This window comes from Homo sapiens, chromosome 4 (assembly GCF_000001405.40).
Source record: "Homo sapiens chromosome 4, GRCh38.p14 Primary Assembly".
Taxonomy (NCBI): Eukaryota; Metazoa; Chordata; class Mammalia; order Primates; family Hominidae; genus Homo; species Homo sapiens.
In genome coordinates this window covers 2,665,658-2,693,412 of record NC_000004.12, presented here as the reverse complement: position 1 = coordinate 2,693,412, position 27,755 = coordinate 2,665,658, and the positions used below count along the sequence as shown (strand labels likewise).

The 27,755-nt window shown below is 43.6% G+C and overlaps 1 protein-coding gene across 14 annotated transcripts in view, besides 1 other annotated feature; it reads right to left on the bottom strand.

Annotated features, from left to right (window-relative positions):
• Positions 1 to 27,755, bottom strand: part of FAM193A (family with sequence similarity 193 member A) — a 197,199-nt gene that overhangs the window by 39,161 nt on the left and 130,283 nt on the right. For 13 of the 14 annotated variants that reach the window (NR_046336.2, NR_046335.2, NM_001366316.2 and 10 more), the window contains 3 exons: positions 21,041 to 21,292; positions 3,709 to 3,907; positions 2,443 to 2,715 (listed from right to left, as the gene is read on the bottom strand). Coding sequence is in view for 12 of the 14 variants with exons in the window: in NM_001366316.2 (NP_001353245.1) it covers positions 2,443 to 2,715; positions 3,709 to 3,907; positions 21,041 to 21,292 (724 nt within the window). In the remaining 2 variants the exon portion in view is untranslated. Of the gene's footprint in view, positions 1 to 2,442; positions 2,716 to 3,708; positions 3,908 to 21,040; positions 21,293 to 27,755 lie in introns of those variants that run through there. The other variant, XM_047416344.1, reaches the window with a different exon arrangement.
• Positions 21,661 to 22,205: an enhancer, noted in NCBI's record as "H3K27ac-H3K4me1 hESC enhancer chr4:2672935-2673479 (GRCh37/hg19 assembly coordinates)". NCBI's record gives its function as "activates a minimal SCP1, AML or CMV promoter by ChIP-STARR-seq in naive and primed H9 embryonic stem cells {active_cell/tissue: H9 hESC(naive and primed)}" and the evidence as "EXISTENCE:reporter gene assay evidence [ECO:0000049][PMID:30033119]".

Below are 27,755 nucleotides of genomic sequence, written 5' to 3'. Positions count from 1 at the left end.
TTTAGCCGAACGTCTGCAAGTTACACTCACCTCTGAACACTTCGGTATGAACTCCTCAGAACATCGACAGTTTGGTTTTTTAAAAAAAATTTCTTGGCCGGGCGTGGTGGCTCATGCCTGTAATCCCAGCACTTTGGGAGGCCGAGGCTGGTGGATCATGAGGTCAGGAGATCGAGACCAGCCTGACTAACACAGTGAAACCGCATCTCTACTAGAAATACAAAAAATTAGCTGGGCGTGGTGGCACATACCTGTAGTCCCAGCTACGCGGGAGGCTGATGCAGGAGGATCACAGATCGCACCACTGCACTCCAGCAGCCTGGGTGACGGAGCAAGACTCCGTCTCAAAGAAAAAAAAAAAATCACCTTTTTCTAAGAGACAGTGTCTCACTATGTTGTCCAGGCTGGTCCTGAACCCCTGGGCTCAAGCAATCCTCTCACCAGGGCCACCTAAAGTGCTGGGACTACAGGTGTGAGCCACTGTACCGAGCTTTTTACTTAAAAATTTCCTCCCTTCTCTCTCCTCTCTTTTCTTTTCTTTCTTTCCCTCCCTCCCTCCCTCTCTCTTTTTTTGACATTTTGCTGAATACCATGATCACCTCACTGGCATTTAACACTGACAGGATACTCTCATCTAAGGTATAACCCATATTCCATTTTCCAATTTCCTTCACATGTCCATTATAGCTTTCCCACTAACCCAGCCTCTTCCAACCCTTTTCTCTTTTCACAAGACTTAACATTTTTAATAGGCTACCTGTCTGCCAATTTGGATTTGTCTTGTCTTGGTAGATTTGGATAAAATGTTCTGGGCACAAATCCTGCAAATATTACGTTGGATCCTTCTGAGTTTGTGGCAATGGGATGCACCCAGTGTCTCTCTGTTTCATGGTGGTGTGCATGGCACTGTCTGCTAGGTTCCTCCAGAGTCTGGCACCCACCATTCCTTTGTAATCTGTCGGTACCCAGTGATAGGGTTTGGTTGTGTCCCCACACAAATCTCATCTTGAATTTTGTTCCCATAATCCCCCCATGTGGTGGAAGGGACCCAGTGGAAACAACTGAAGCGTGGGGATGGTTTCCCCCATGCTGTTCTAGTGATAGTGAGTGAGTTCTCACGAGAGCTGATGGTTTTATAAGGGGCTTCCCCCTTCGCCGTGTACTCGTTCTCTCCCCCGTGAAGAGGTGCTTTCCACCATGATTGTAAATTTCCTGAAGCCTCCCTAGCCATGTGGAACTGTGACTCAATTAAAACTCTTTCCTTTATAAATCATCCAGTCTTGGGTATTTCTTCATAGCAGTGTGAGAATTGATTAACACAAGCGCCCATCATCCTGCTGTAATCTGTCAGTACCCTATGGGTGCTGCTTTTGAACAGTAGAAATACTCCATTCCCCAAACTGATATCCCTTGTTAACCTCCATGAATGCTGCATACTTGCACCAGCTGTTACCCTGGGGGTGCAGCATGCTGACTTGCCACTCTTATCCTTCTTACACATTTAGAGGAGGTGTGCTTTTAGAAGAAGGAGCTTCCCACCCTACTGCTCTGTTTGAGCATCCCAATCCTTATGGATTCTTGACTTTATTTGTATGCTATAGTCAAACTTCCTGTTTTTTTAACTTTTTTTTTTTTTTTAGAGACGGGGTCTCACTATGTTGCCCAGGCTAGTCTCAAACTCCCAGGCTTAAGCAACCCTCCCCTCTCAGCCTCCCAAAGTGCTGGGAGCTACCACACTCAGCCTCCTCATTCCTTTTAATGCTCAATCTGTCCCAGCTTTGGCTAGTGAGGCCTCCTCGAGCCAGCTACTGAGTTGCCATTGGTCTCTGATCACATTATTGCTTTTGGGCCCCCTAAGTGACAGCCAGGGGCTGTACCCTAGGCTGGGTGACAGGCAGCCCTGTCAGCTCACATCTGCTCAGCATTTTCCTAAAGCAGCTTCTGAGAAATCTTGCCACATGCTCAGAAAGCAATGACCTCCTAGCCTGGCCAAAATGGTGAAACCCCGTCTCTACCAAAAAATACAGAAATTAGCCGTGCGTGGTGGTGGGCACCTATAGTCCCAGCTACTTGGGAGGCTGAGGTAGGAGAATCGCTTGAACCCAAGAGGCAGAGGCTGTAATGAGCTGAGACTGCACTGCTGCACTCCAGCCTGGGCGAACAAGAGTGAGACCCTAACTCAAATCACAGAAGAACAGAAACAGAGACAAAAGCAAGACAGTGCAGCGAAGCCCCAGAGGAATCTAGCACAACAGCTAAAATTCTAATCAAAGTCCTAGGGGATCAGCTCTCTGTGTGTGAGCATTTTTGGGCAGTTAATTACACTTACGCCTCTGGCTAGGCCAAGTAAAAGGCAGTTACAAAGATGAGTTACAAAGACGAGAAGTCAGTAAGCCCAGCCTTCCTGCAGACCCCGAGGGCCAGTGAGCCTTCAAGCCTTACCTACTGAAGGAGGTCTCTTGGATGACACTCTGAACTGGCTGTTGCTGGACTGCACTGTGGTAGCTGTGCAGGACACAGAGGACGTGGCTGATGACGTGGCCATGACAACTTTATTTGCTTCCATGAAAGCATCTTGGAAATTGTATAAACATTTCTTTTTTGCAGCATTCTTTTTCTCTTTACTATCCGAGACTGCAGGTGTTTCATTGCTAGATGGAGGTGGAAGGGCTTCCGGTCTTGTTTCTGAGAGTGTTGGCCCTAATATTTCACTCCCTTCAAAGAAGAACAGGAAAATTAAGGCTTCTGACAGCAATCATACTTAGCTAAACCCTAAAAGACATGCTGATGACTGAACACTTGATACTGGGGGTGCTACTGAAGTCAGGATCCCACTGGGATGACACTAAGTCAACTAGCTTTTAATCTAAGAAAAAATTGTATTGAGCACCTACTATGTGCCAATTCCTGTGCTAGGTGCTTTCCAAAGTTACGTAAAGTCTTAAAATTACTTTCTGAGGTTGGTACTATTACTCCCATCCTAAGAAGATGAAGAAACTGAGGCTCAGAGAGGCCAAGCAACTTGCCCAAGGTCACACAGCTAGAAATCCTTCCTAAGCACAGATCAGGATGTCAAGTCTAGCCTGCTGTTCTGGCACATGCAGGGGCTGGGTGTGGGGCTGCCAGGAGCTCTGGCCGCAGGAAGACAGAGATGAGGAGTAGGTACCAGCCCCTTTTCAGGTGCCCCTGACCCTGTGACTGAAGTAACGGCTGGGCCTCAGTGGCTGAGGCAGCTGGGGAGTAAGGAGCTAGTAAAGGGGAGAGATGCCACGTGGCGCCAATGCAGTAACCAGAGGAAGGAGTGTGAGTCACAGATTTAAGTCAACTGTGGCACTTTCTTCCTGCCCCTGTGCACCGGGGGGGCTGAGGTCTGGCTGTCACCACTGCTCGAGAATTGAAGGCCGGGCACCCGACCGTGGTCACGAGACCCTCAGCAGCGCTGAGGCCACGCCCATGTGGCTCACCGGGCTGACGGGCAGCCATGGAGCCAGAGTCTTGCTCCGCTCTGTCACACAGTGGGACCGACTGGTGGCAGATGCGAGAGGATGGAGTAGGATGACAGCCCCGAGGGGCCTCCCACTGGAGACAGAGGTGGTGGAGCAGCAGCTGGCTACAGCTGCGCCAGGGCTTCCACGGGAGACTACGGCAAAGATGTCAGTCTACTCAGGTTATTTTAAAACTTCAAGAAAGTTTTAACAAATTCCTTACCAGAAATTGTATCTGGCAAGAAAGTGCCAGGATTCCAGTTCTTATCATTCATCACTTCTGATCCCCAAAGACTTATAAATTTAGAACTATTCCACTCTGGAGTATTCCCAAAACAGCTCGGATAAATATGGTCTTGAAGAGATGCATTGAATACCTGATGCTTATTTGTGTGATTCTGAACAGGTGCTGGCGGTAAAGCCTACAAAAAAAAATTTTCTAATCACATATCAAAATTAATATTCTGTTTACCTAGGTAAGTAGTTAAACTACAGACAGACAATTCATTATGAGCCTCATGGGATGTGCTCGCCATGAGCTGAGCTCAGCCCAGGGGGAGCACATCTCACAAAACATGGACTTGATTTATGAGACTGTACACGACAGGTCAAATTTCAACCAGATGTAGATATGAAAAGCAACCGATGCCTTGAGGAGTATATCTGAACAAACTTTAGACAACTCAGTAACTTCTCACATTCCTACTGGGTCACATGTGAGTGTGCCATGTGCGTCGTAAGATCTGTTTCTACGGCTTAATCTCAGCAAGCATTTTAATGATCATCACTAATAAGTCAACTTTGGAATCACTGATGAAAATGGATAAAACCCTTACACTGACCTCTTATACCCAGGCAAGGTACAGCACAAATCTAATGACCTAGAGAAATTTGTATACTGTGCTCTAAAGACCAGGGCGTTCTCAAAGGAGCTGCCTCATTGGCAAGCCCCGCCCTGGGCCCTGTGGGGCAGACCATTGTTGAAGGCACCAAGGGAAGGTGAGCAGGGTCTGGCCAGCTGGCTAGCCAACATCCATGCATTTATTGAGCCACTAGCCATCTGGCTGCTCCTGCACAGGCTGGGGCCCCCTTGGGTCCTCCCTCTGCCTCAGCCACTATCCAGGCAACAGGCCCTGGCTGCTGACCTCCTTAGGAGATCCTGAGCACCATGTTCTCACAGTGGCGCAGTGCAACAGCCTGCACATTTGCACCACGAACTCTTCCCAGTCCTTCTCCCCACTACAGCCAGAGTGATCTTTGTTGAATGTAAATTCGAGCATGTCACTCCCCTGCTCAGGATGCAGCAATGGCTTCCCAAGGCTCTGGCCTGCAAAGTTCCAAGGGAGCTGGGCCCACCACCTCCACCCTTCCTGCTCACCAAAGCCCTGGACACACAGGCCTCCCCTTGGCCGGCACACGCCTATTCACCTTCTTGGCCCTAAGTTCTGCTTGTGCTGTGTCCATGCTCTAGAATGTGCAAGCCTCAGCTCGCTACCACACTCGCACTCATCCTGCAGGCCTCGGCCTAAAGATCGCTTCCTCAGAGAAGCCGGCGTTGCCTTTGCTGTCACCTCCCAGGAACCAACACCCAAGACCAAGGCGAGCCTTCCCACTGAACACACTAAAATCCGTCATTTTCCCTCTTAGCACTTACCACAGTTATAATTCGAGACCTACTTGTAGCCTGTTGGTTTGATGTCTGCCTTTCCCCAAATTATATGCGCTCTAGGATGAGGTGGGACATCTGGGTCCTGGCCCTTCTCCCCCAGTCCTTGCTAATGCTGGGCAGACATACGGTTCTCCCTCAGCAGGACTTCTGTCTGCTGGAGAGGAGAAGTGCCCAGTTATGGGCAACCTGGTCATCACATCCTCTGGGATGCAGAAATGAGTAGTGAATTCTTTAAACTCAAGTGGGAGGGTTCCCTGGAGGGTTCTTAAGAATGGGCGATGGTTCGGCAGAATCCTGCTGGCCTGGCTGGGGCAGAGGGAGGACAGGAAGAGGTTAGGAGCAAAGGGATGGCGCACGTACAGGGATGACAGTGCTACACCCTGACAGGCTCCAGGTTGAGTGTGGGCAGCAGCCAGGCCAAAGACAACTTTGTACCACTTTGTTCTGAAGGGGCTGGGGAGTCACAGAGGGATTTAAACAGCAGAGTGAGATGATTTGGTCAGCTTTGTGGAAAGATCAATTTGTGGCAATGCTGTGGATGAACCAGAAGGCGGAAGGAGGACGAGTAGGTTAGTCAGGGGATGAGAAAGGATGAAGCAATGGCAGTGAAGGTGGCAAGGAAAGGAGGAATTCTGGAGCTATCAAGATGAAAGCTGGGACTGCACATCTAGTCCAGGAGCTACCACTGCTGGCTCCACTATGAGGAGGCACGGTCAGGTGACAGCTAGATCTGAACTCTAGTCCCACGTCTTGGCCTTTGGGCTCTGGAGTCTGGCGAGCTCGGATGCCAGCTCTCCCTTTTGCTAGCTGTGTGACCTCAGGCAAATCACTCAATCTTTTTGTGCTTTAGTTTTCTCATCTGTAATCTGGAAATACCTACCTCCAGGGGTATGGTAAGAGTTGAGCACACTGCCTGGCCCATAGTAAGTATTCAGTGAGTGTGATGGTGCACTGCTTTGATTTTCTAGGACAATAGTCTTAGAGACTACTATATAGAGACTACTTATATAGACATAGAGTCCCTGGACACAAAACACCTGACCAACCGACCAAACCTTTCCACCTTGCCCTTCTTCCACAGTGCTTCGGAGCAGAGAGGAAGCACTCCCCTCTGGGCTGCTGGACAGCTCAGCGAGTCCACTGACCTGGAACAGGCCCAGGAAGGCAAAGGGGGAGAGGAGGGTAGAGCAGACACTCAGGACTCAACAGCAGGAATAAACAGGTCCAGACGGGCCACCCAGGATACAGTAAAGGGCCTGAAGTCATTGTTTTGGTAAGGGAGCCCCATGGGACAAGAGCCAGGAAAATAAAAAAACGTATTTCAATAGATACCCATTTCTACAAAGCAGCGATAAGCTAAGAGCTGCTTTGCTGAGAAGTAATTGACAAAAAGTAACAAGTAGAAGACTTCTTGGTCTTGAGGACCTTCTTGTAAAAGGCAGAAGCCCGTGACAGATGCCAAACTGCTAGCTTTGAGCAGCAGTCCCATTGTGCCGGCCCAGCTGGTAAACCATGACTAGAAGCACTCTCAGGGCTCTGAAGCTACGTTAAGTGCCTCCTGGACTCCTCAAGACACGACCATGAGTTGTTTGGTTTCAGGTTTGAAAAGCCTGGCTGAGAGCCTGGGCTCCACCACCCATGTGTGTTCAGAGAGCTCTTGCTTATGCTTCAAAACCCTATTTCATCAGCATCACCTCCTCTGCAAAACCACCCGTGGGCTCATTTAAAATTTTCTCTCTTCGGTGTTACTTTTCTGCCTAGCATCTGTAAGTCACAACATTTTGATATTTTGATTATGTTTTTGTCTTCTCTTTAGACTGTGAACTCTTTGAAAAGAGGGGCCAAGACTAACCGATTTTTGTCTTCCTAGAGTCTAGCACAGGGCCTGGCACATATTGGGTGTTCAATAAGTGTTTGCTGAACAGTGTCTAGCTTAGAGGAATAAGGGAATGCATCTATATAACTGTAATATTGGAAACATACGGCAATGATTCTACGCATTTGATTTACACACTATTCAGAACCCCACACACTCAAAAACGGAAGCCCAGTTGTAGGGACAAAAGTAACAGGGATCAGTAACAAAAAAAGTTGTATTTTCTTTAATGCTTTTGCAGAAGATGCCTACTGACCTCAATAGCTTATGGATTTCTTTCAGGAAAAAATAGGTGTCTGTCACCTAGACCATTTTTGGACCATGACTTTATAAGTCCACCAATGATATAACTGTAAAGTAACTCTCTCAGAACGTGGACTACGCTATTGAATCAGAACACCAATTTCACTCGTTATACAAACCCACAAAGCTTCAACTAGCAGAAGTTTTGCATTTTTATCCACTTTGAGACAAAAGAAGTAATCCATAGAAAAGGAAAACTGTTGCTTTAAATGAAAGCTCTGACACAAATATGCAAACACAACAAACTGCTTTCCACTGCGCACACACTGAGTTTATCCAGGAGCTAGGTGACTCGCCTGTCCTCTACCACCCACACCCACTCGGACATGGAACATGGGTGCAAGACATGAGGAGCAAGAGCCGCAGACTGAGTCATGAGGCCCACACGTGAGAGGTTCCCAACACTAAGCATCCGAGCAAAAATGAGTTCCAGTTGTATCCCCAGTAACGAAAAGGTTAAGATGACAGACTCTCTGTATTTCTGCTTAACAGGTTTTTTGGTATTTCTCCCAGAGATTGGTAAAGAGGCGAAGGACCATCTTTGCTTTGGCTGTGCCAGTTTTCAGGCTGGAAGAGCTGAATCTCAGCTCTAAAAGAACATGCAGGTCGAAGATCACAATGTGATCCCCATATTGCAACCTATTTATGACCCTATTATCCACATAGCTTTACCTGCCCAATCTAAATCTGCACTTATACTTTAAACTATATTTAACTGAATCATATTTTAACTGTATTAAATGCGTTTCCAGTGGTTTTACTTAAGTCTCAAAGTAACCCAGAGAGGGAGTGTAAAGATACACCCTGGCCCTCGAAGCTAACAAGGGACCAAGGCTACTTGGCACCCGGTCCTCCCCTTACACCACGTCACCAGGCTCCACTTGATACACTGAACTCCTGAGGGCCAGAACCCAGTGGCCACTGCAAATGCTCCACTGCAAAGTTCTCAGTGGAGACTTAGAGACATCCCTGTCTTCACTTCTAGGCCGTTTCTTAGTACACCAACTGTTTCACAGTACATCCTCCGTGTTGGATGAAAAAGACCCAGGATTCAAAGTCACATGCCTTGGGTTCCGGTATAGATTCAGGCCCTGTAGTCGTTAACTTCCTACTCCTAGGCCACGTGGAAGGAGCAGCAAAATGCAGCCGCACCTGCTCGGCTTTGCTCTTCTCTTGAAGGCCGTTCTTCCCCCCTGGTCTGGGCCTTGCTAGGTAAGAGGGGCTACTTAGCTCTAGATCTGAGAGAAATGACACTGAACACTTTGGTAACCAACTGCTATCGACAAAGGCAAAGGATGAAAAGAAGTATCAGGAGGTCATGAGAGAAGCGAGGTGGAGGTGAGGGGAAGGAACAGCCGTACACCATCGCCACAGTGACGTGTGGGGGCAGCAGTCTGGAGGCCCTCAAGAGGAGCCCAGGTCTCAGGCAGCTCTCGCATCAGCAGACGCCAACCCTCACAGGGAAGCATCCACTATGGAGGGCTGTGGTTCTCACAGAGTAAGCTGAGCAAAACATAACCTCCTAATATACTCCATCCGCAAAAGGAAATAATACATCACAGGTGATATCAGCAGAAAACGAATCTGGATGCTCAAGGTTTCATTCAAACACAGAGTAACTATGTGTGAAATGCTTAAAGAAAGAAAAAAAAAACAAGGAACAAGAGAATATAAAGAGCTACTAAGTATCTTTGGAAAAAAAAAGTAAATTAAAACTTATAAATAATAAATATAGTCAGAATCAGGACTTAAGTGGCAGGCTAGGCACCACTACAGAATCACTTAACTGGAGGACTGATCCCAAAAAAGTTCTCAGAACATGGAACTGGGAGAAAAGGAGATGAGAAACATGCAAGAGAGTGTTAGGAATGCAGAACAGAAGAAGGTCTAACAACAATCTCACCAGAGGCTGAGAGAGACAACTGAATGGTTGCAGGAACATGGAGATAACATGGATGGCAATTATCATACAGGAAATTGAAAATGATTGGTAGGCCAAAGGCTCTAATGGAAAAAGTAGACAGCATGCAAGAACAAGGGGGCCGTGTGAGCAGAGAGATGGGAAGAAATGCTGGCAATAAAAACAATCTAAGAGAAACGAAGACTATCAGTGATGGACTCATCAGGAGACGACACGGCCAAGGAAAGAGTCAGGGAGCTGCAAGATATGTCAGCAGAAACTTCCCATACTGCAAGGCAAAGAGAAACAAGAATTAAAAACAAAAACAGAAACAATATCCCCAATAGAACAAAACATCCAAAACCTGTGGGACAGTTTCGAAAGATATAACACCTGGTAAGTGGAATGCTGGAAGGAGAGACTAGAGAAACAGTTGAAGTAGTAATAGCTAAAAAGTCTCCAAATTAACAACTGACAGCACAGATCCAAAGAATTCAGAGAACATCAAGTGGAATAAATACCCCCAAAGCTACATGAAGACATATTCTATTCAACCTGCAGAATACCAAAGAAAAAGAGAAAATCTTGGCCAGGTGCCATGGCTCATGCCTGTAATCTCAGCACTATGGGAGGCCAAGGCAGGCGATCACCTGAGGTCAGGGGTTCAAGACCAGCCTGGCCAACATGGTGAAACCTCATCTCTATTAAAATACAAAAATTAGCCGGGCATGATGGCGGGAGCCTGTAATCCCAGCTACCTGGGAGGCTGAGACAGGAGCATCACTTGAACCTGGGAGACAGTGGTTACAGAGAGCCGAGATGGCGCCACTGCACTCCAGCCTGGGCGGCTGAGCAAGACTCTGTCTCAAAAAACAAAAAACAAAAAAAAAAAAAAGAGAAAATCTTGAAAGCAGCTGGGTGGGGGCAAGTGGACCTACAGAAGAACAGGGAAAAGAATTCGAAAAGAATTCCAGAGGACATCTTGTCAGAAATCAGAAACCATGCCAGCAAGGACAGAGGGAAGTTAAACAGTTCTAAAGTGTTCAAAGAAAAAAACCACCAACCTAGAATTATGTGTCCAGCCAAATTATCCTTCAAAAGTGAAGGAGAAATAAAGACTTCCTCAGACAAACAAAAACTGAGGGAGCTCATCACCAGCAGACCTGCCCTGCAAGAAATGTCAAAAGATTTCCTTCAGATAGAAGGTCAGAAACGTGGATCTACATAAAGAAAGGAAGAATACTAGAGAAGGAATAAAGACAAAGTAAAATATCTTCTTCTTATTATTATTCATCTAAAAGATAACTGTTGAAAGTAATCATCATCACTGTACTGGGTGATAAACATGTGGATAAGTGAAAATAATGACAGCAATGTCACAGGGAATAGGGAAGGGTCGGGAGTAATCTGTTAAATGTTACCTTTTTTACATTAGTTAGTTGAAAAAGGACTCAGATTAGTTCAAAATGTATATTGTAAACTCCAGGGCAACTGCAGAAATTTTAAAAAAGATAAATAAAATTGATATACTAACAGAGGAGATAAAACCATAAAACGCTTAATTAAAAGTAGAGAAGGCAGAAAAAGACTCATAATGAATAGGAAACAATTACAAACATGGCTGATATTAATCTAAATACATCAAAAAATCACTTTAAATGTGAATAGTCAAATACACCAATGAAAAGACAAAGATTATCAGAGTACATCAAAAAACAACAAGCATGGTGGCATGTGCCTATAGTCCCAGCTACTCAGGAGGCCAAGGTGGGAGGACTGCTTGAGGCTAGGAGTTCAAGTTCAGCTTGGGTAACATAGCAAGAGTCCATCTCTAAAAATAAAAAAACAAACAAACACAACTATACATGTCTACAAGAAACCTGCTTTACATATGAAACCCTGAGAAGGTGGCTCGCGCCTGTAATCCCAGCACTTTGCGAGGCTGAGGTGGGCGGATCACAAGGTCAGGAGATCGAGACCATCCTGGCTAACATGGTGAAACCCTGTCTTTACTAAATATACAAAAAATTAGCCGGGCATGGTGGTGGGCACCTGTAGTCCCAGCTACTTGGGAGGCTGAGGCAGGAGAATGGTGTGAACTCAGGAGGTGGAGCTTGCAGTGAGCCGAGATCGCATCACTGCACTCCAGCCTGGGCGACCGAGGAAGACTCTGTCTCAAAAAAAAAAAAAAACCAAAAAAAAAAAAACCCTGAGAAGTTAAAAGTAAAGGGATGGAAACAACCAATGGATCAATAAAGAAATTACAAAGAAAAGCAGAAAATACTTAGAGACAAATGAAAACAAAAACATAACATACTGAAACTTACGGGACGCAGTGAAAGCAAGCACTAAGAGCAAAATGTATAGCTACAAACACATCAAAAAACAAGAAAGATCTCTATCAGCAACCTAACTAGGATAGGCGTGGTGGCTCATGCCTGTAATTCCAGCACCTTGGGAGGCTGAGGCAGGAGGACTGCTTGAGCCCAGGAGTTTGAGACCAACCTGGGCAACATGGTGAGACCTCCGTCCCTACGTAAATAAATACATAGACAGACAGATAGATAGCTGGGCATGGTGGCACACACCTGTAGTCCAAGCTACGAGACTATGGGTCAGGAGGATTGCTTGAGCCCAGGAGGTCGAGGTTGCAGTGACCCAAGATCGCACCACTACACTCCAGGCTGGGCAACTGAGTAAGCTTTGTCTCAATAACAACAACAAATAAAATGAAACAAAAAACCCTCCCTAACTTCACATCTTAATGAATTAGAAAAAGAACAATCTAAACCCAAAGCTAGCAGAAGAAAGGTAATTTAGAGCAGAGATTAATGATCAATGAAATAGAGAATAGAAAAACAATAGGGGAAAAAAAAAATCAATGAAACCAAAATATAGTTCTTTGAAAAGAGAAACAAAACTGACAAAACTTTAGTGAGATGGAGTAAGAAAAAAAAAAGACTCAAATTACTATAATCAGAAATGAAAGTGGGGACATTATTATTGATTACACAGAAATAAAAGGGGCTGGGAGTGGTGGCGCACACCTGTAATCATAGCTACTTGGGAGGCTAACACAGGAGAATCATTTGAGCTCAAGCGTTCGAGGCTCCAGTGAGCTATGATCGTGCTACTGCACTCCAGCCTGGGCAACAGAGCAAGCATATCTCTAAAAAGCAGAAAATTAAATTAAAATTAAGAAAAAAACATAAAAGGTATTATAAGAAAGTACTGGCTGGGCTCGGCGCTGTAGCTCACGCCTGTAATCCCAGCACTTTGGGAGGTCCAGGTGGGTGGATCACCTGAGGTCAGGGGTTCGAGACCAGCCTGACCAACATGGTGAAACCCCATCTCTACCAAAAATACAAAAATTAGCCGGGCATGGTGGTGGGCGCCTGTAATCCCAACTATATGGGAGGCTGAGGCAGGAGAATCTCTTGAACCTGGGAGGCAGAGGTTGCAGTGAGCCAAGATGGTGCCATTGCACTTCAGCCTAGGTGACAAAGCAAGACTCCGTCTCAAAAAAAAAAGTAAGTAAGTATTGGCTGGGCTTGGTAACTCATGCCTATAATCCCAGCACTTTGGGAGGCTGAGGTAGTAGGACTGCTTTAGCCCAGGAGTTTCAGTCCAGACTGGGTAACATAGTGAGACCCTGTCTTCTCTCTGGAAGAGTCCAAAACAATAAAAAAAAAATTAGCTGGGAGTGGTGGCACATGCCTGTAATCCCAGCTATTGGGGGGCCAAGGGAGGAGGAATGCTTGAGCCCAGGAGTTTGAGGCTGCAATGAGCTATGATCATGTCATTGTACTCCTGCCTGGGTGACAGAGTGAGATGCCGTTTCAAAGAAAAAAGAAAGTATTACGAACAACTGTACACCAACACACTGGATAAAACAGATGAAATGAAAAAATTTTTAGAAACACAAAACCTATCAAGACGAAATCATAAAGAAATAGAAAAGTCTGAACAGACCTGTAACTAGTAAGGAGATTGAACTGGTAATCAAAAACCACCCAATAGGCTGGGCGCAGTGGCTCACGCCTGTAATCCCAGCACTCTGGGAGGCCAAGATGGGTGGATAACCTGAGGTCAGGAGTTTGAGACCAGCCTGGCCAACATGGCAAAACCCCGTCTCTACTAAAAATACAAAAATTAGCTGGGTGTGGTGGCATGTGCCTGTAGTTCCAGTTACTTTGGAGGCTGAGGCCAGGGAATCGCTTAGAATCTGAGAGGCGGAGGTTGCAGTGAGTGGAGATTGTGCCACTGCATTCCAGCCTGGGTGACAGAGCAAGACTCCGTCTCAAAGAAAAAAAAAAAAATCACCCAATAAAGAAAAGCCCCAAACCTGATGGCTTCACTAGTCAATTCTACCAAATATTTAAAGAATTAATACCAATCTTTCTCAAAGTTTCCAAAAAACTGAAGAGGAGGGAACACTTTCTAACTCATGTCCTGAGCATATCCCCATACCAAAGCCAAAGACACTGTAAGAAAAACTACAGGGTCGGGCGCGGTGGCTCACACCTGTAATCCCAACACTTTGGGAGACCGAGGCGGGTGGATCACCTGAGGTCGGGAGTTCGAGACCAGCTGACCAACATGTAGAAACCCTGTCTCTACTAAAAATACAAAATTAGCCGGGCCTCGTGGTGCATGCCTGTAATCCCAGCTACTCTGGAGGCTGAGGCAGGAGAATCACATGAACCCGGGAGGCAGAGGTTGCAGTGAGCCAAGATCACACCACTGCACTCAGCCTGGGTAATGAGCAAAACTCTGTCTCAAAAAAAAAAAAAAAAAAAAAAAAGAAAGAAAACTACAAACGAGTATCGCTTGTGAACATTCATGCAAACATCCTCAACAAAATACTAGCAACCTGAATTCAGCAGCATATTAAAAGATTCATACACCATGACCAAGTGGGACTCATTCCCAGAATGCAAGGATAATTCTATGTATAAAAAGTAATCAATGTTAATATGCCACATTAACAGACTGGAAAAAGCCAAAGATCATCACAACTGGTGCAGAAAAAGCATGTGACAAATTCAACACCCATTCATTACAAAAACACCCAACAAACTAGGAATAGAAGGAAAACTACCAAAACATAATAAAAGCCATATATGAAAAACCCACAGCAAACAATGGTGAACGAATGAAAGCTTTTCCTTAAATAACAGGAACAAGGCAAGGATGCCTGCTTTCATCACTTCTCTTCAACACAGTATTAGAAATTTCAGCCGGAGCAAACAGGCAAGAAAAAGAAATAAAAGGCATCTAAACTGGAAAGGAAGAAGTAAAATTATCTCTGTTTGTAGATGATATGATTTTACAATGTAGAGAACTCCAAAGATTCCACAAAAACAGTCTGTTAGAATAGATGAATTCAGCAAAGTAGGAAGATACAAAATCAACACTCAAAAATCAGCTGCATGTCTATACACTAACAATGGTCAGTTGGAAAAGGAAATTATGAAAACAATTCCATTCACGACAGCATCAAAAATAATAATTTAGGGCTGGGCACAGTGGCTCATGCCTGTAATCCCAGCACTTTGGGAAGCCGAGGCGGGCGGATCACTTGAGGTCAGGAGTTCGAGACCAGCCTGGCCAACATGGTGAAACCCCGTCTCTACTAAAAATACAACAATTAGCCAGGCATGGAGGCGCATGCCTGTAATCCCAGCTACTCAGGAGGCTGAGGCAGGAGTATCGCTTGAACCTGGGTGGTGGAGGGTGCAGTGAGCCAAGATCATGCCACTGCACTCCAGCGTAGGCGACAAAGTGAGATTCTGTCTCAAAAAAAAAAAAAAAAAAAACCACCAAAACCAAAACAAAACACCAACGGGAATTAACCAAAGAAGTGGAAGAGTTGTATCATAAAAACTACAAAACAGGCCAGGCGCGGTGGCTCACGCCTGTAATCCCACCACTTTGGGAGGCCAAGGCAGGCAGATCATGAGTTCAGGAGATTGGGACCATCCTGGCTAACACAGTGAAACCCCATCTCTATTAAAATACAAAAAATTAGCTGAGCGTGGTGGCACGTGCCTGTACGGGAGGCTGAGGCAGGAGAATCGTTTGAAACCAGGAGGTGGAGGTTGCAGTGAGCGGGATCATGCCACTGCATTCCAGCCTGGGTAACAGAGGGAGACTCTGTCTCAAACAAACAAACAAACAAACACACACTACAAAACACTGCTCTAAGAAATTAAAAAAACATAAATAAATGAAAACACATACCATATTTGTTGATTAGAAGACAATACTGTTAGAATGTACATACTGCCCAAAGTGATCTACAGATTCAATGCAGTTATGCAGTCCCCATCAAAATGCCAATGATGTATTTTGAAGAAATAGAAAAATCCACCCTAAATTCATATAGAATCTCACGGGATCCTGAATAACCCAAACAATCTTTTTTTTTTTTTTTTTGAGACAGTGTTTCCCTCTTGTTGCCCAGGCTGGAGTGCAATGGCGCGATCTTGGCTCACTGCAATCTCCGCCTCCCGGGTTCAAGTGATTCTCCTGCCTCAGCCTCCCGAGTAACTGGGACTACAGGCACGTGCCACCACGCCCGGCTAATTTTTTGTATTTTTAGTAGAGACAGGGTTTCACTGTATTAGCCAAGGATGGTCTCGATCTCCTGACCTCGTGATCCGCCCGCCTCAGCCTCCCAAAGTGCTGGGATTACAAGTGTAAGCCACCGTGCCCGGCCAACCCAAACAATCTCTACAAAAAAAACAAAAACAAAACAAAACAAAACAAAACAACAAAAAAACCCACCAAACCTGGTGGACTCACACTTCCTGATTTCAAAACTTACTGCAAAGATATAGCAATCAAAACTGTGTGGTATCAGCATGACATACAGACCAATGGAACAGAACAGAAAGCCCAAAACTGGAACTTCAGATATATGGTCAAATGATTTTTGACAAGGATGGCAAGATCCTTCAACAGGAAAAGGGCAGTCTTTTTAACAAATGGTACTGGTACAACTGAATATCCACATGCAAAAGAATGAAGTTGGACCCTTACCTAACACCATATATAAAAATGAACTAAAAAATGGATTACCAACCTAAATGTAAGGAAAGAACAAAACTCTTAGGAGAGAACAGAGAGCAAAAGCTTCACAACACTGGATCTGGCAATGATTTATTGGATGTAACGCCAAAGGCACAGGCAACAAAGAATAGACAAATTGGACTGCATGAAAATTTTTTTTTTTTTGAGACGGAATCTTGCTCTGTCGCCCAAGCTGGAGTGCAGTGACGTGATCTCGGCTCACTGCAAGCTCCACCTTCCGGGTTCACGCCATTTTCCTGCCTCAGCCTCCCGAGTAGCTGAGACTACAGGTGCCCGCCACCACACCCGGCTAATTTTTTTATTTTTAGTAGAGACGGGGTTTCACTGTGTTAGCCAGGATGGTCTCGACCTCCTGACCTCGTGATCCGCCTGCCTCGGCCTTCCAAAGTGCTGGAATTACAGGCGTGAGCCACCGTGCCTGGCTGAAAAATTTTTAAATGTTGTGCGTCAACAGACACTATCGACAGAGTAAAAAGGCAACCCACAGAATGGGAGAAAATACTTGCAAATCATATATCTGATAAAGGACTAATATCCAGAATAGAAAGAGAACTAAAATGCAACAACAACAAACCTGATTCAAAAACGAGCAAAGGACTTGAATAGATGTTTCTCCAAAGAAGATATACGAATAGTCAATGAACAATGAAAAGATGCCCAACATCACTAAACACTAAGGAAATGCAAATCAAAACTACAATGTATCTGTGGTCATTTACACAAGACAAAAAGCCCTACAATGGGATACCACCTTACATCCTTGAGGATGGTTACTATTAAAAAAGCAAAACAGAAAATAACAAGTGTTAATGAGGATGTGGAGAAACTGAAACCCTTGTGCACTGTTGGTGGGAATGTAAAATGGTGCAGCCACTGTAGGAAACGGTGGCAGTTCCTCCAAAAATTAAAAATACAATTACCATATGATCTAGCAATTCCACTTCCGGGTACACACCCCAAACAACTGAAAGCAGGGTCCTGAAATATTTGTACACTCATGTTTACAGCAGCACTGTTCATAGTAGCTAATGTATGGAAACAACACGTGTTCACTGATGGAGACACAAAATAGGGTACAGCCATATGATGAGTATTATTTAGCCTTAAAAAGGAAGGAGATTCTGCAATATGCGACAACATGAATAAACGCTGAGGACATTATGCTAAGTGAAATAAGCCAGTCACAAAAAGAGAAATACTGTACAATTCCATGTACATGAGGTACTTAGAGTAGTCACAATCACAGAGACAAAGTAGAATAATGGATGCCCAGGGCTGGGAGAAGTGGAGTTATTGTTTAACAGGTAAAAACCTCCAGCTTTACAAGATGAAAAGAGTTATGGAGACGGATGATGGCTGCACAACATTATCAACGTATTTAATACCACTGAATTCTACACTTAAAAATGGTTAAGATTGTAAATTTTATGTTAGTGCATATTTTACTATAATAAATCTTTTCAAAAAGTAAGCAATGAAGGAAGATATACCATGCTAGCACTAACCAAAAGAAAGCTAGAGGAGCTATATTAATTTCAGGCAGAGCAGACTTTAGAGCAAGGGAAGTTACCAGTGGTAGTAAGGAGCATTACATAATGAAAAAGGGTCAATTCTCCAAGACGACGTAACAATTCTCAATGTGTGTGCCGCTAATAACAGAGTATCAAACTTTGTAGGGCAAAAGCTGATAGAACTGTGCAAGGAGAAACCGATGAATCAATGGAAGTCTTCAAGGGCACGCAATCAGAAATGAACAGATCCAGCAGGCAGAGAATCAGTCAAAACATAGTTGCTGACTGACAGAACTCAAGAGCACCATCAATCAATTGGACATAATGAGCATCTGAAGACCACTTCACTGAACAACGGCAGAACACATATTCCTCTGAAGCTCACACGGAACATTCACCAAGACAGACCAAATTCTGGGCCATAAAACATACCTTAATAAACTCAAAAAACCAGAGATTATACACTGCATGCTTTTAGATCACAATGGAATTAAAGTAGAAATCAGTAACAAAAAGATAGTTGGGAGATCCCCAAATATTTGGAAATTAAATTCTCTGGCACTTACAGTTTTTATTTTATGTAGTATTTCATTACTGTATTTTTCTCAGCAATACTTTGAACTTTCAAATAACTTATACTCCATATATAAATTCGGTATGTCACTGGTATGGAGACACTTGAAAACAGAAATTAGTCTTCAAGTCTTTTTAATTTCAAGAATTTTTTTTTTTTTTTTTTTGGTAGAGACAGGGTTTTACTATGTTGCTCTGGTCTTGAGCTCCCAGGCTCAATCAATCCTCTCACGTCAGCCTCCCAAAGCACTGGGATTACAGGCGTGAGCTACCACAACCAGCCAGAAAATAAATTTTTCATAGTACCCATGCTAAACTTTTTAGGTACTAAATATTTACCCACAAAGCCTAAAATATGAATTATAAGAATTACAACTACAATGACATAATGTGCCAAAAGGCAAAAACTGTGACCCCAGCACAGCAGAAACTCCCCAAGGCCCCAACAATGCAAAAGTGATGGCAGACACAGTACACAAGGCCCCCTCCACGTTCAGCACCCACCTTCTGCTCCCTACATTCAGAACTTCTTGCCCAACAATCCTGCTGTTGATTATCTCTAAGAAACTTCCTCCAATGTCACTGAAATTTGTGCAATTCTGATATAGCTCATTTGCTTCTTAAGCTGTCCACAACTCACTGGTGGACCAGGAGACCCCTTCAGGGCTGCTAACGCATTATGCATTTAGGCACAGATGTGGTCAACAGCATCCAACTAAGCCAAACTAAGTCAAATAACACAAACTAATCTTGTAAGACCTGGTAAGTGACAATTCAAGTTTGTTTACAGAAACGAACATTTTCATACCAGATGCAAATGAAGTATTTTGATAATTGTATCTTATGTTTCCACATAATAATGGCCACCACATATTTTAAATGAATCAGTGAATAGTCTTCAGTTTGCTGAAGTGGTAGAAATAACGTTTAGTTATAAATTTCTAAGTTTCTATACCTCTACCGTATATGGCTTGACTCCATATTTGCTTTTCTATTCAAATCTTTCTATATGATTAAAGTTTAACAGGTATCAAGAGAACAGATATTAGATACAAATGATGCTCCTAAAACATGTTTTTCTTCTTTTACCCATATATAGATCTCTAATTTCCTAAGAAAAGGCCAAAAGCCCGGGAAAATAATCAATTTTTAACCAAAGGGGCCCCACAGTCTTTAGTAATAATCAATTTTACTATCTTACTTATTTTTCGGAACTAATTCTTGAATAGCTTCCAGCAGCAAAAACATCTAACAGAATATTATCTTTTCTTGGAACTAGGTAATAGAGCTCTCTTCAGGCTACAGCAGGGAGTGGAAACCTTCCTCACTTTACACCCAGAGAAAATCAGGCTACAAACCAGGCGGACCATGAAGATAGCCTGGTTCTGACTACATACCTGAAAAATGTTATTAAAAAGCATTCTATTATTAAGACATCATTAAAAGTTCAAACTGAGCAATATTCAATCTAACAAAATTTAAGCATGAATTTGGATGGTTGTGCCAAGTAATTACAATAGATGTGGCAAACTTATTACACTCTATTCTAAACCTGTGTCTGTTAATCTTCCACCTACGCCTCTCCCTAGCAAAGAGACAACAAACCTCACTTATGGGCTACATGTACCCCACTTCACAGTGACCCCTAGAGGGGAGAAAACACACATGTGTTTGGAAAAACTGTGGTCTGGAAAAAATCATTCCATGTCATGTCCTCCTCCCTTTCTGTTCCAGCTCAAAAGCAATGTTTTAAATAATAAATTAGGGTTTGAAATAAATTATATTTTTGACTGATTAGAGCTACCTTTGGACAAGAATAACTGGTACAAAGAAAAAAAAGAAAACAATCAGAATTACGGTGAGTCATTCTGGTAAAGTTAAGCTCAAAATAACTAGAGAGGCAAAGCTATCTAAGGTCCAAAGAAAGAAACCAGCCTAAGAATTTCACTGTAAAGTCTAAGATACTAAGTATACACATGAGGTTCTCTGGGAAGAAATGCATAAAAATCAACTTATTTCTACATCCTCACTCCACTTCCTGAATGGGCTCTTCACACTGGGTTTCTGGCAGCTTCTCCTTTCTGTACCCTCCCCTCCCCAGTGCTCCATCACCTGCAGGGCGTTATAGTTTTCTGTGGCATCACACTTAGGGCTCTTCCTTTATTTAGGCTCGTGTATTTCTAAATGCTAAAGCAGCATAGACATTTTAGACCCTGTAGAGTCCAGCCAGTGTTAGAGGACTCATGTTGTATTCACATTATTTTACCTATCAAATTAAGAAGAAGAGCAAGCCCTGGAAGATCACAAGTAGATTACTGGTCTCCTGTGGAAATATTCCCTAGGTTTAACCTGTTAGAAATAGCACCTGAAAAATCCTTCTGTTCTATTTAATTCTGAATAAAAGAACTATGACCTTCACAGTTGTTTTTAATGATTGTTACAACTGTAAAGGTTCACAATTACAGTGCTTAAGAGATTATGGTGAAAGGAAACACTTGGAGACCTTCCTATCCAGAGCAGATGCTATCCTATGCAAGTTGCTAATTCACAGATTTCTTTGTTTGACTATGTACTCCTGTAGGATCTCAGTGAAGAGTGAGCTTTCAGACCCTTTTTGCCCTGACTTACCTTACTGTGTGTGAAGGGGGGCGTTGCATACAAGGTGGGGTGGATGAGAGGGCGTGGCAGGTGTGGAACAGTGTGCAAAGGCACATGTCCATGGATGTGAGGGTAAAGGTGCAGTGCAGGGTGTGTGGGCTTCTCTGGGCTCAAGAACTGATGGCCAGGAGGAAGGGCTCCGGCTGTCATTGCAGATGGTGTCAGTCCAGAAGCTTCCTGCTTACAAACATGACATTCACAAGTGTTTGGAGCTTGTTCAGCCTAAGAGGAAAGAAAAAAAACATACCTATTTAGTGAAACAATAAATGGTATGAATTAAAGTCAGTCACATTCTGCCAAGTAGTTACAAAGCAAATACAAAGGTAAGTGGGCTTTTCCTGACACCCTGAGTTGACCAGGGCCTTCCATGCAAGGAAAACGAGGGACCCCAAGAGACTGAGACTGAAGAAGACGCACAGAGAAGAAAGGTGTACCTCATTCCACAGACAGACTCAGGTAGAGCCACTGGTTCTGAATCCTATGCCTATGCAGAAAATCTCTCTTCCCACATGTGAGCAGGGACAAGGGAACTAGTGAAGACGACAGAGTAGAGAGGGGATGGCTGTGCTCCACTGGGCTCACACTGCTTCTAAGTAGTCACACATGGATTCTCCAAAACAAAGCAGAGACGCGACTTCCGGTTACGGTGGAGTGAAGAGGTCAGTGGCTCCTTTCCCTCAGGGCAAATGTAAAACTGAACACAATTGTCAAAGGCAACCATTCTGAGGCTCTGGAAATCAGCCCAAGGAAAATACCGCGACACATTTATTCATGCAAATCAGCTAGAACTTCAAGGAAGAACAGCAAGTCTGGCTTTCTTGTCTGGGACTCTTTCCATTTCCTGCACCTGTACTCCACCCCTGACTCGGTCGGCAGTGGGCACAGGAGTTCTGTGACTGCAGGGATGTCAGCGCAAACCAACCCTGCTACCAAAAACAGCAGCCTGGTCAGGCAGAGGGTGAAGCAGTAAAAGCAGTGAACTTAGAAGGGAATGAATAGGGAAGCCTGCAGCTCTGTTCCCTTGAGACTGAGGTCCCAACTGGGGTGAGTGGCAAAGGAGACAGAAATCTAACAGAGAGAACCCTGGAAATGAGAGCGCCACGGAAGGGCTTCTTAAGCTGTCCACAACTCGCTGGCTGACCAGGAGAGCACAGTGCATGCACTGAGGACACCTCACGGGCTGGAGGAAGGGGCCAACACAGCTGACTTGAGAACTGGCTGAGTGCTGAGCGCATTCACCCCACAGCCAACAATGGAGCCCCTGTGGATTCAAGGTGCATGGGCAACCTCTGCCCAAATCATCAGCTGGCCAATCAGCCAGGTGGACAAAGGGCAGACCTCTAGAAGCCAAACTAAAAAGGAGAAGAGAAGAAGTAAGCTGAGACACCCACAGCCACATAATGTGGGAGATACAGGTCCTGCAACTGAAGCCCAGGAAATAACAAAAACAAGGAAACAAACAAAAGACAACAAAGGACCCTCAAGGGAAAAAATGATAATGCAAAATTATCACATTATTTAAAATGTCCAATTTTCAACAAAAAATTATGAGACAAGCAAAGATTAAAGAGAAGTATGACCTAGGCTGGGCGCAGTGGCTCACACCTGTAATCCCAACACTTTGGGAGGCAGAGGTGGGAAGATCACTTGAGCCCAAGAGTTCAAGCCTAGTCTGGGCAACATGGCAAAACCCTGTCTCTACAAAAAGTACAAAAACTATCCAGGCATGGTGGTGTGTGCCTGTAGTCCCAAGTACTTGGGGGGCTGAGGTGGGAGGATTGTTTGAGCCCAGGAGGTCCAGGCTCGAGGCTCCAGTGAGCTGTAATCATGCCACTGCACTTCAGCCTGGGTGGCAGAGCAAGACCTTGTCTGGAAAAAAAAAAGTGTGACCCACATGCAGGAAATAAATAGTCAAACGGTTAACAGGAGTGAGTTCAGATACTAAATTAGCACACAAAGATGTCAAAGCAGCTGTTATAACATGTTCAGAGAATTAAAGGAAAATATGAAAATAAAGATTCAACATATAGGGAATTACTACAAAAAAAGAGAAACAAAAAAACAGTAAAATATAAATTCTATAGGTGAAGAGTACAATAGCTAAACCAAAATTTCACTAAAGGGGCTCAAAAGCAAACTTAAAATGGCAGAAAAATCATCTGTGAACTTGAAGAAGAGCAATGGAACTGATCTAGGAAGAGAGAGAAGAGATGAGGGGAAAGTATGCAGACGCTCAGAGGCCTGTGGGAGAGCAGCCAGCACTCCAGCATGTGCAGAACCAAGTCCCAGAGGAAAGGGGGAAGAGCATCCAAATAACACCTGGACACTCCACTTCCCAAATGTGATGAGAAACATTGGTCTACAGATCCAAGAAGCTCAGTGAACCTTAAGATGGATAAAAACAAAGAGATACTGAGAGCTGCAGAACTCTGGCACACAATGACCACCTAAGGCTTCCTGCAGCCAAAGGCCAAGTCCCTAGGATGACCCCAGACCCTACTAAAACACCTTCTTGAGAAAGCCAGGCTGCCAGGAGAACTGACTGCTTGTTCTAACAGTCTGACAGCTGATGACTGTAACAAGAGTAACACTCTGGTGTGGAATTTGATAGTGGGAAGGCTGTGTGTGGGGACCCTGGGTATAGGGTGTCTCTGTAGCTCTCACTCAACTTTGCTGTGAGTCTAAAGCTATTCCTAAAAACAACCACTCTATTTATTATTTATTTATTTATTGTTGAGACGGAGTCTCACTTCTCGCCTAGGCTGGAGCGCAATGGCGCGATCTTGTCTCACTGCAACCTCTGCCTCCCGGGTTCAAGCAATTCTCATGCCTCAGCCTCCCAAGTAGCTGGGATGACAAGCACATGATAGCACGCCTGGCTAATTTTTGTATTTTTAGAAGAGATGGGGTTTCACCACGTTGGCTAGGCTGGTCTCGAACTCCTGACCTCAGGTGATCTGCCCGCCTCTGCCTCCCAAAGTGCTGGGCGTGAGACACCCCCATGCCTGGTCTATTTTTTAAAATGAAGGCAAAATAAAGACATTTACACAAAAACAGAATTAACTGCTAGCAAACTGGTCCTGTAAGACATATTAAAGGAAGGTAAAAACAAGACGGTAACTTAAATTCGGCAGAATTTAAAATGAAGAATGCCAGAAATGACTAGCCAGCTAGCAAATAGAAAACACTGTATAAATACAGGCCAGGCGTGGTAGCTCATGCCTGTAATCCCAGCACTTTGGGAGGCCAAGGCGGGTAGGTCACCTGAAGTCAGGAGTTTGAGACCAGCCTGGCCAACATGGCGAAATGTCATCTCCACCAAAAATACAAAAATTAGCCGGGTGCCATGGTGCTTGCCTGTGATCCCAGCTACTCAGGTGGCTGAGGCAGGAGAACTGCTTGAACCTGGGAGGTGGAGGTTGAAGTGAGCCAAAATTGTGCCACTGCACTCTAGCCTGGACAACAGAGTGTGACTCTGTCTCAAAAAAAGGAAAAGAAAAAGGAAAAGAAAAGGAAAAGGAAAAGAGAAAGAGAGAGAGAGAGAAAGAGAGAGAGAGGAAAAGGAAAAGAAAGAAAAGAAGGCAGGCAGGCAGGCACTGTATAAATACATTTTTCTCTTTTATTTGCTCTAGAAATTATAAAGCTGTATAAAGCAGTAATTAAAACATATTATTGGTTTGTAACATATACAAATGTAATTATATATAGGACAATAATAGTACAAAGGAGAAAGAAGGAAATGGAGCTCCTGCGGAGCAAAGTTTGTATATTTTACTGGAATTAAGTCAGTAGTAATCTGGAGTAGATTGTGATAAATTAAGATGCATATTGTGGGCGGGCGTGGTGGCTCACACCTGTAATCTCAGCACTTTGGGAGGCTGAGGTAGGTGGATCACTTGAGGCCAGTTAGAGACCAGCCTGGCCAAAGTGGCAAAACATTGTCTCTACTAAAAATACAAAAATTAGATGGGCGTGGTGGTGCGCATCTGTAATCCCAGCTACTTGGGAGGCTGAGGCAGGAGAATCACTTGAACCTGGGAAGCAGAGGTTGCAGTGAGCCAAGATTGCGCCACTGCACTCCAGCCTGGGTGACAGAGCGAGACTCTGTATCAAAAAAAAAAAAAAAAAAGATGCATATTGTGGCTGGGTACACTGGTTAAGTGTAATCTTAGCACTTTGGGATTTCCTGGCGGGAGAATCACTGAAGGCCAGGAGTTTGAGACAAACTTGGGCAACACAGGGAGACCTTGTCTCTACTAAAATTAAAAAACTTAGCCGGTCATGGCGGCACATGCCTATAGTCCCAGCTTACTAAGGAGGCTGAGGCAGGAAGACTGCTTGAGCCCAGGAGCTTGAGGTTGCAGTGAGGCATGATGATGCCACCCCACTCCAGCTTGTGTAACAGAGCAAGACCCTGTCTCTAAGAAAAAAAGAGATACATATTGTATTTTAATTTTTGTTTCTTTTTATTTTTTATAACGACATTCACAAGAGATGCATACTGTAACCCTACAGCAGCCACTAAGAAAATTAAAAAAAGAATCAACAGAAGAATTAAAATAGTACACTAAAATTTTTGTTTAATATTTAAAAAGGCAGATACTGACATATACAGGATAAAAATGCAAGGCCCAACTAAAAGATGTTAGACAAATTTTAGATTCAAAGACACAAAGAAACTGAAAGTAAAAGGATGAAAAAATACATGTACACAGTAACCCAAGAAGGTGGAGTGGCTATACTAACAAATAAAACGGACGTTAAGAAACACCAGTAGTCAAACATTTCATAATGATAAAAGGGGCAATATATCAGGGGAGCTATAACAATAATTCAATAACATCACCCCCAAATGCATGAACCAAAACAAGGAAGAATTGAAAGGAGAAGGAAATAATCCAACAGTTAAACTTGAAGGCTTCAATATGCCTCTCTCAGTAACCGATAAAACCACCAGACAGATAATCAGTAAGAATATATACTATGATCTGAGTATCTGTGCCCCTCCAAAATTCATATGTTGATAGCCTAACCTCCAAAGTGATGGTATTAGGCGATAAGGACTTTGGAAGGCTCTACTCTCAGGAATGGGGTTACTGTCCTTACATGGTAGCCTGGATAGACCAAGACAATACAGAAGACTTGAAGAATGCCATCAACCAATTTGATCAAACTTTCATTTCTTGAACACTCCACACAACAAGAACAAAGTTCAAATTATTTTCAAGTACACATAGAACAGGATCTAGGTAAACTATATGTTAGGCCATCAACAAGTCTCAATAAATTTGGAAGCTCTAAAATCAGTCATCTAAGCTTTTGTTTCAACAAACTAGAAAAGGAAGAGCAAGCAAAACCCAAAGAACATAGAAAGAAATAATCAATTTCAGAATGGAAACCAATGACACAGAAACGAAAACAGAGAAATTGACAAATCTTTAGCCCAAGTGACTGAAGCCGTTAAAAGGAAGATAAAATTACCCAAATCAAGAATTAGCATCACTGCAGGCACTGCAGAATTAAAAAGGATTATAACAGTATAGAATAACTTTATGCCAACACATTAGACAATTTAAATGAGTAAATTCCTACAAAGACAAAAATTATTGAAATTCACTCAGTAAGAAATAGGAAATTTGAAAAGACCTATTACAAGCAAATGAAACTTGAATTAGTAATTACAGATCTTCCCACAAAAAGAGACCAGGCCTACAGGATTTTGCTGGTGAATTCTATCAAATATTTAATAAATCTCAATCTTAAACAAACTCCTTCAGAAAACATAAGTGAAAAAAACATTTCCTAACTCATCCTATGAAGCCAGTATTACTCTGATACCAAAGTCAGACAAAGACATCACAAAGATAGGAAACTACAGACCAATATATTTTATTAGTATTAACACAGATGCAAAAATCCTAACAAAATATTAGCAAACCAACTCAGGAACACATGAAAAGGATTATATACCACCGCCAAGTGGGAGTTATCCCAGGAACACAGGTTGATTTAATATCCTTAAATCAACTGATGTGACACACCACGGTAACAAAATAAAAAACGAAAACCACAAGATCGCAACACATGCAGAAAAGACATTTGAAAAACTGAACAATTCAATATTCAATACAATTCAATATTCAAATCATGAAAAAACTCAAGAAATTAGGAGTAGAATAGAATTTCCTTAACCCAATAAAGGGCATCTATGAAAAACCTATACTTGATATCACATTTAAAGAGTGGTCAAAGATTAAATGCTTTCCCCCTAAGATTGGGAACAAGGCAAAGATATCTGCTTGCAACAATTCTATTCTGTACTGAGTTTCCAGCTAGCTCAATAAGGCAAGAGTAAGGAATTAAAAGCACTCGGGAGGCTGAGTCAGGAGAATGGCATGAACCTGGGAGGCAGAGCTTGCCGTGAGCCGAGATAGCACCACTGCACACCAGCCTGGGCAACAGAGCGAGACTCCGTCTCAAAAAAAAAGAAAAAGAAACTGAAATTAAAAGCATCCAGACTGGGTATGGTGCCTCACACCTATACTCCTAAAACTTTGGGAGGCTGAAATGGGAGGATGGCTTGAGGCCAGAAGTTCAAGACCAGCCTGGGCAACATAGTGAGACCCTCTCTCTACAGAAAGTTTTTTTTTAAAGCTGGGCGTGGTGGCGCATGCCTGTAGTTGTA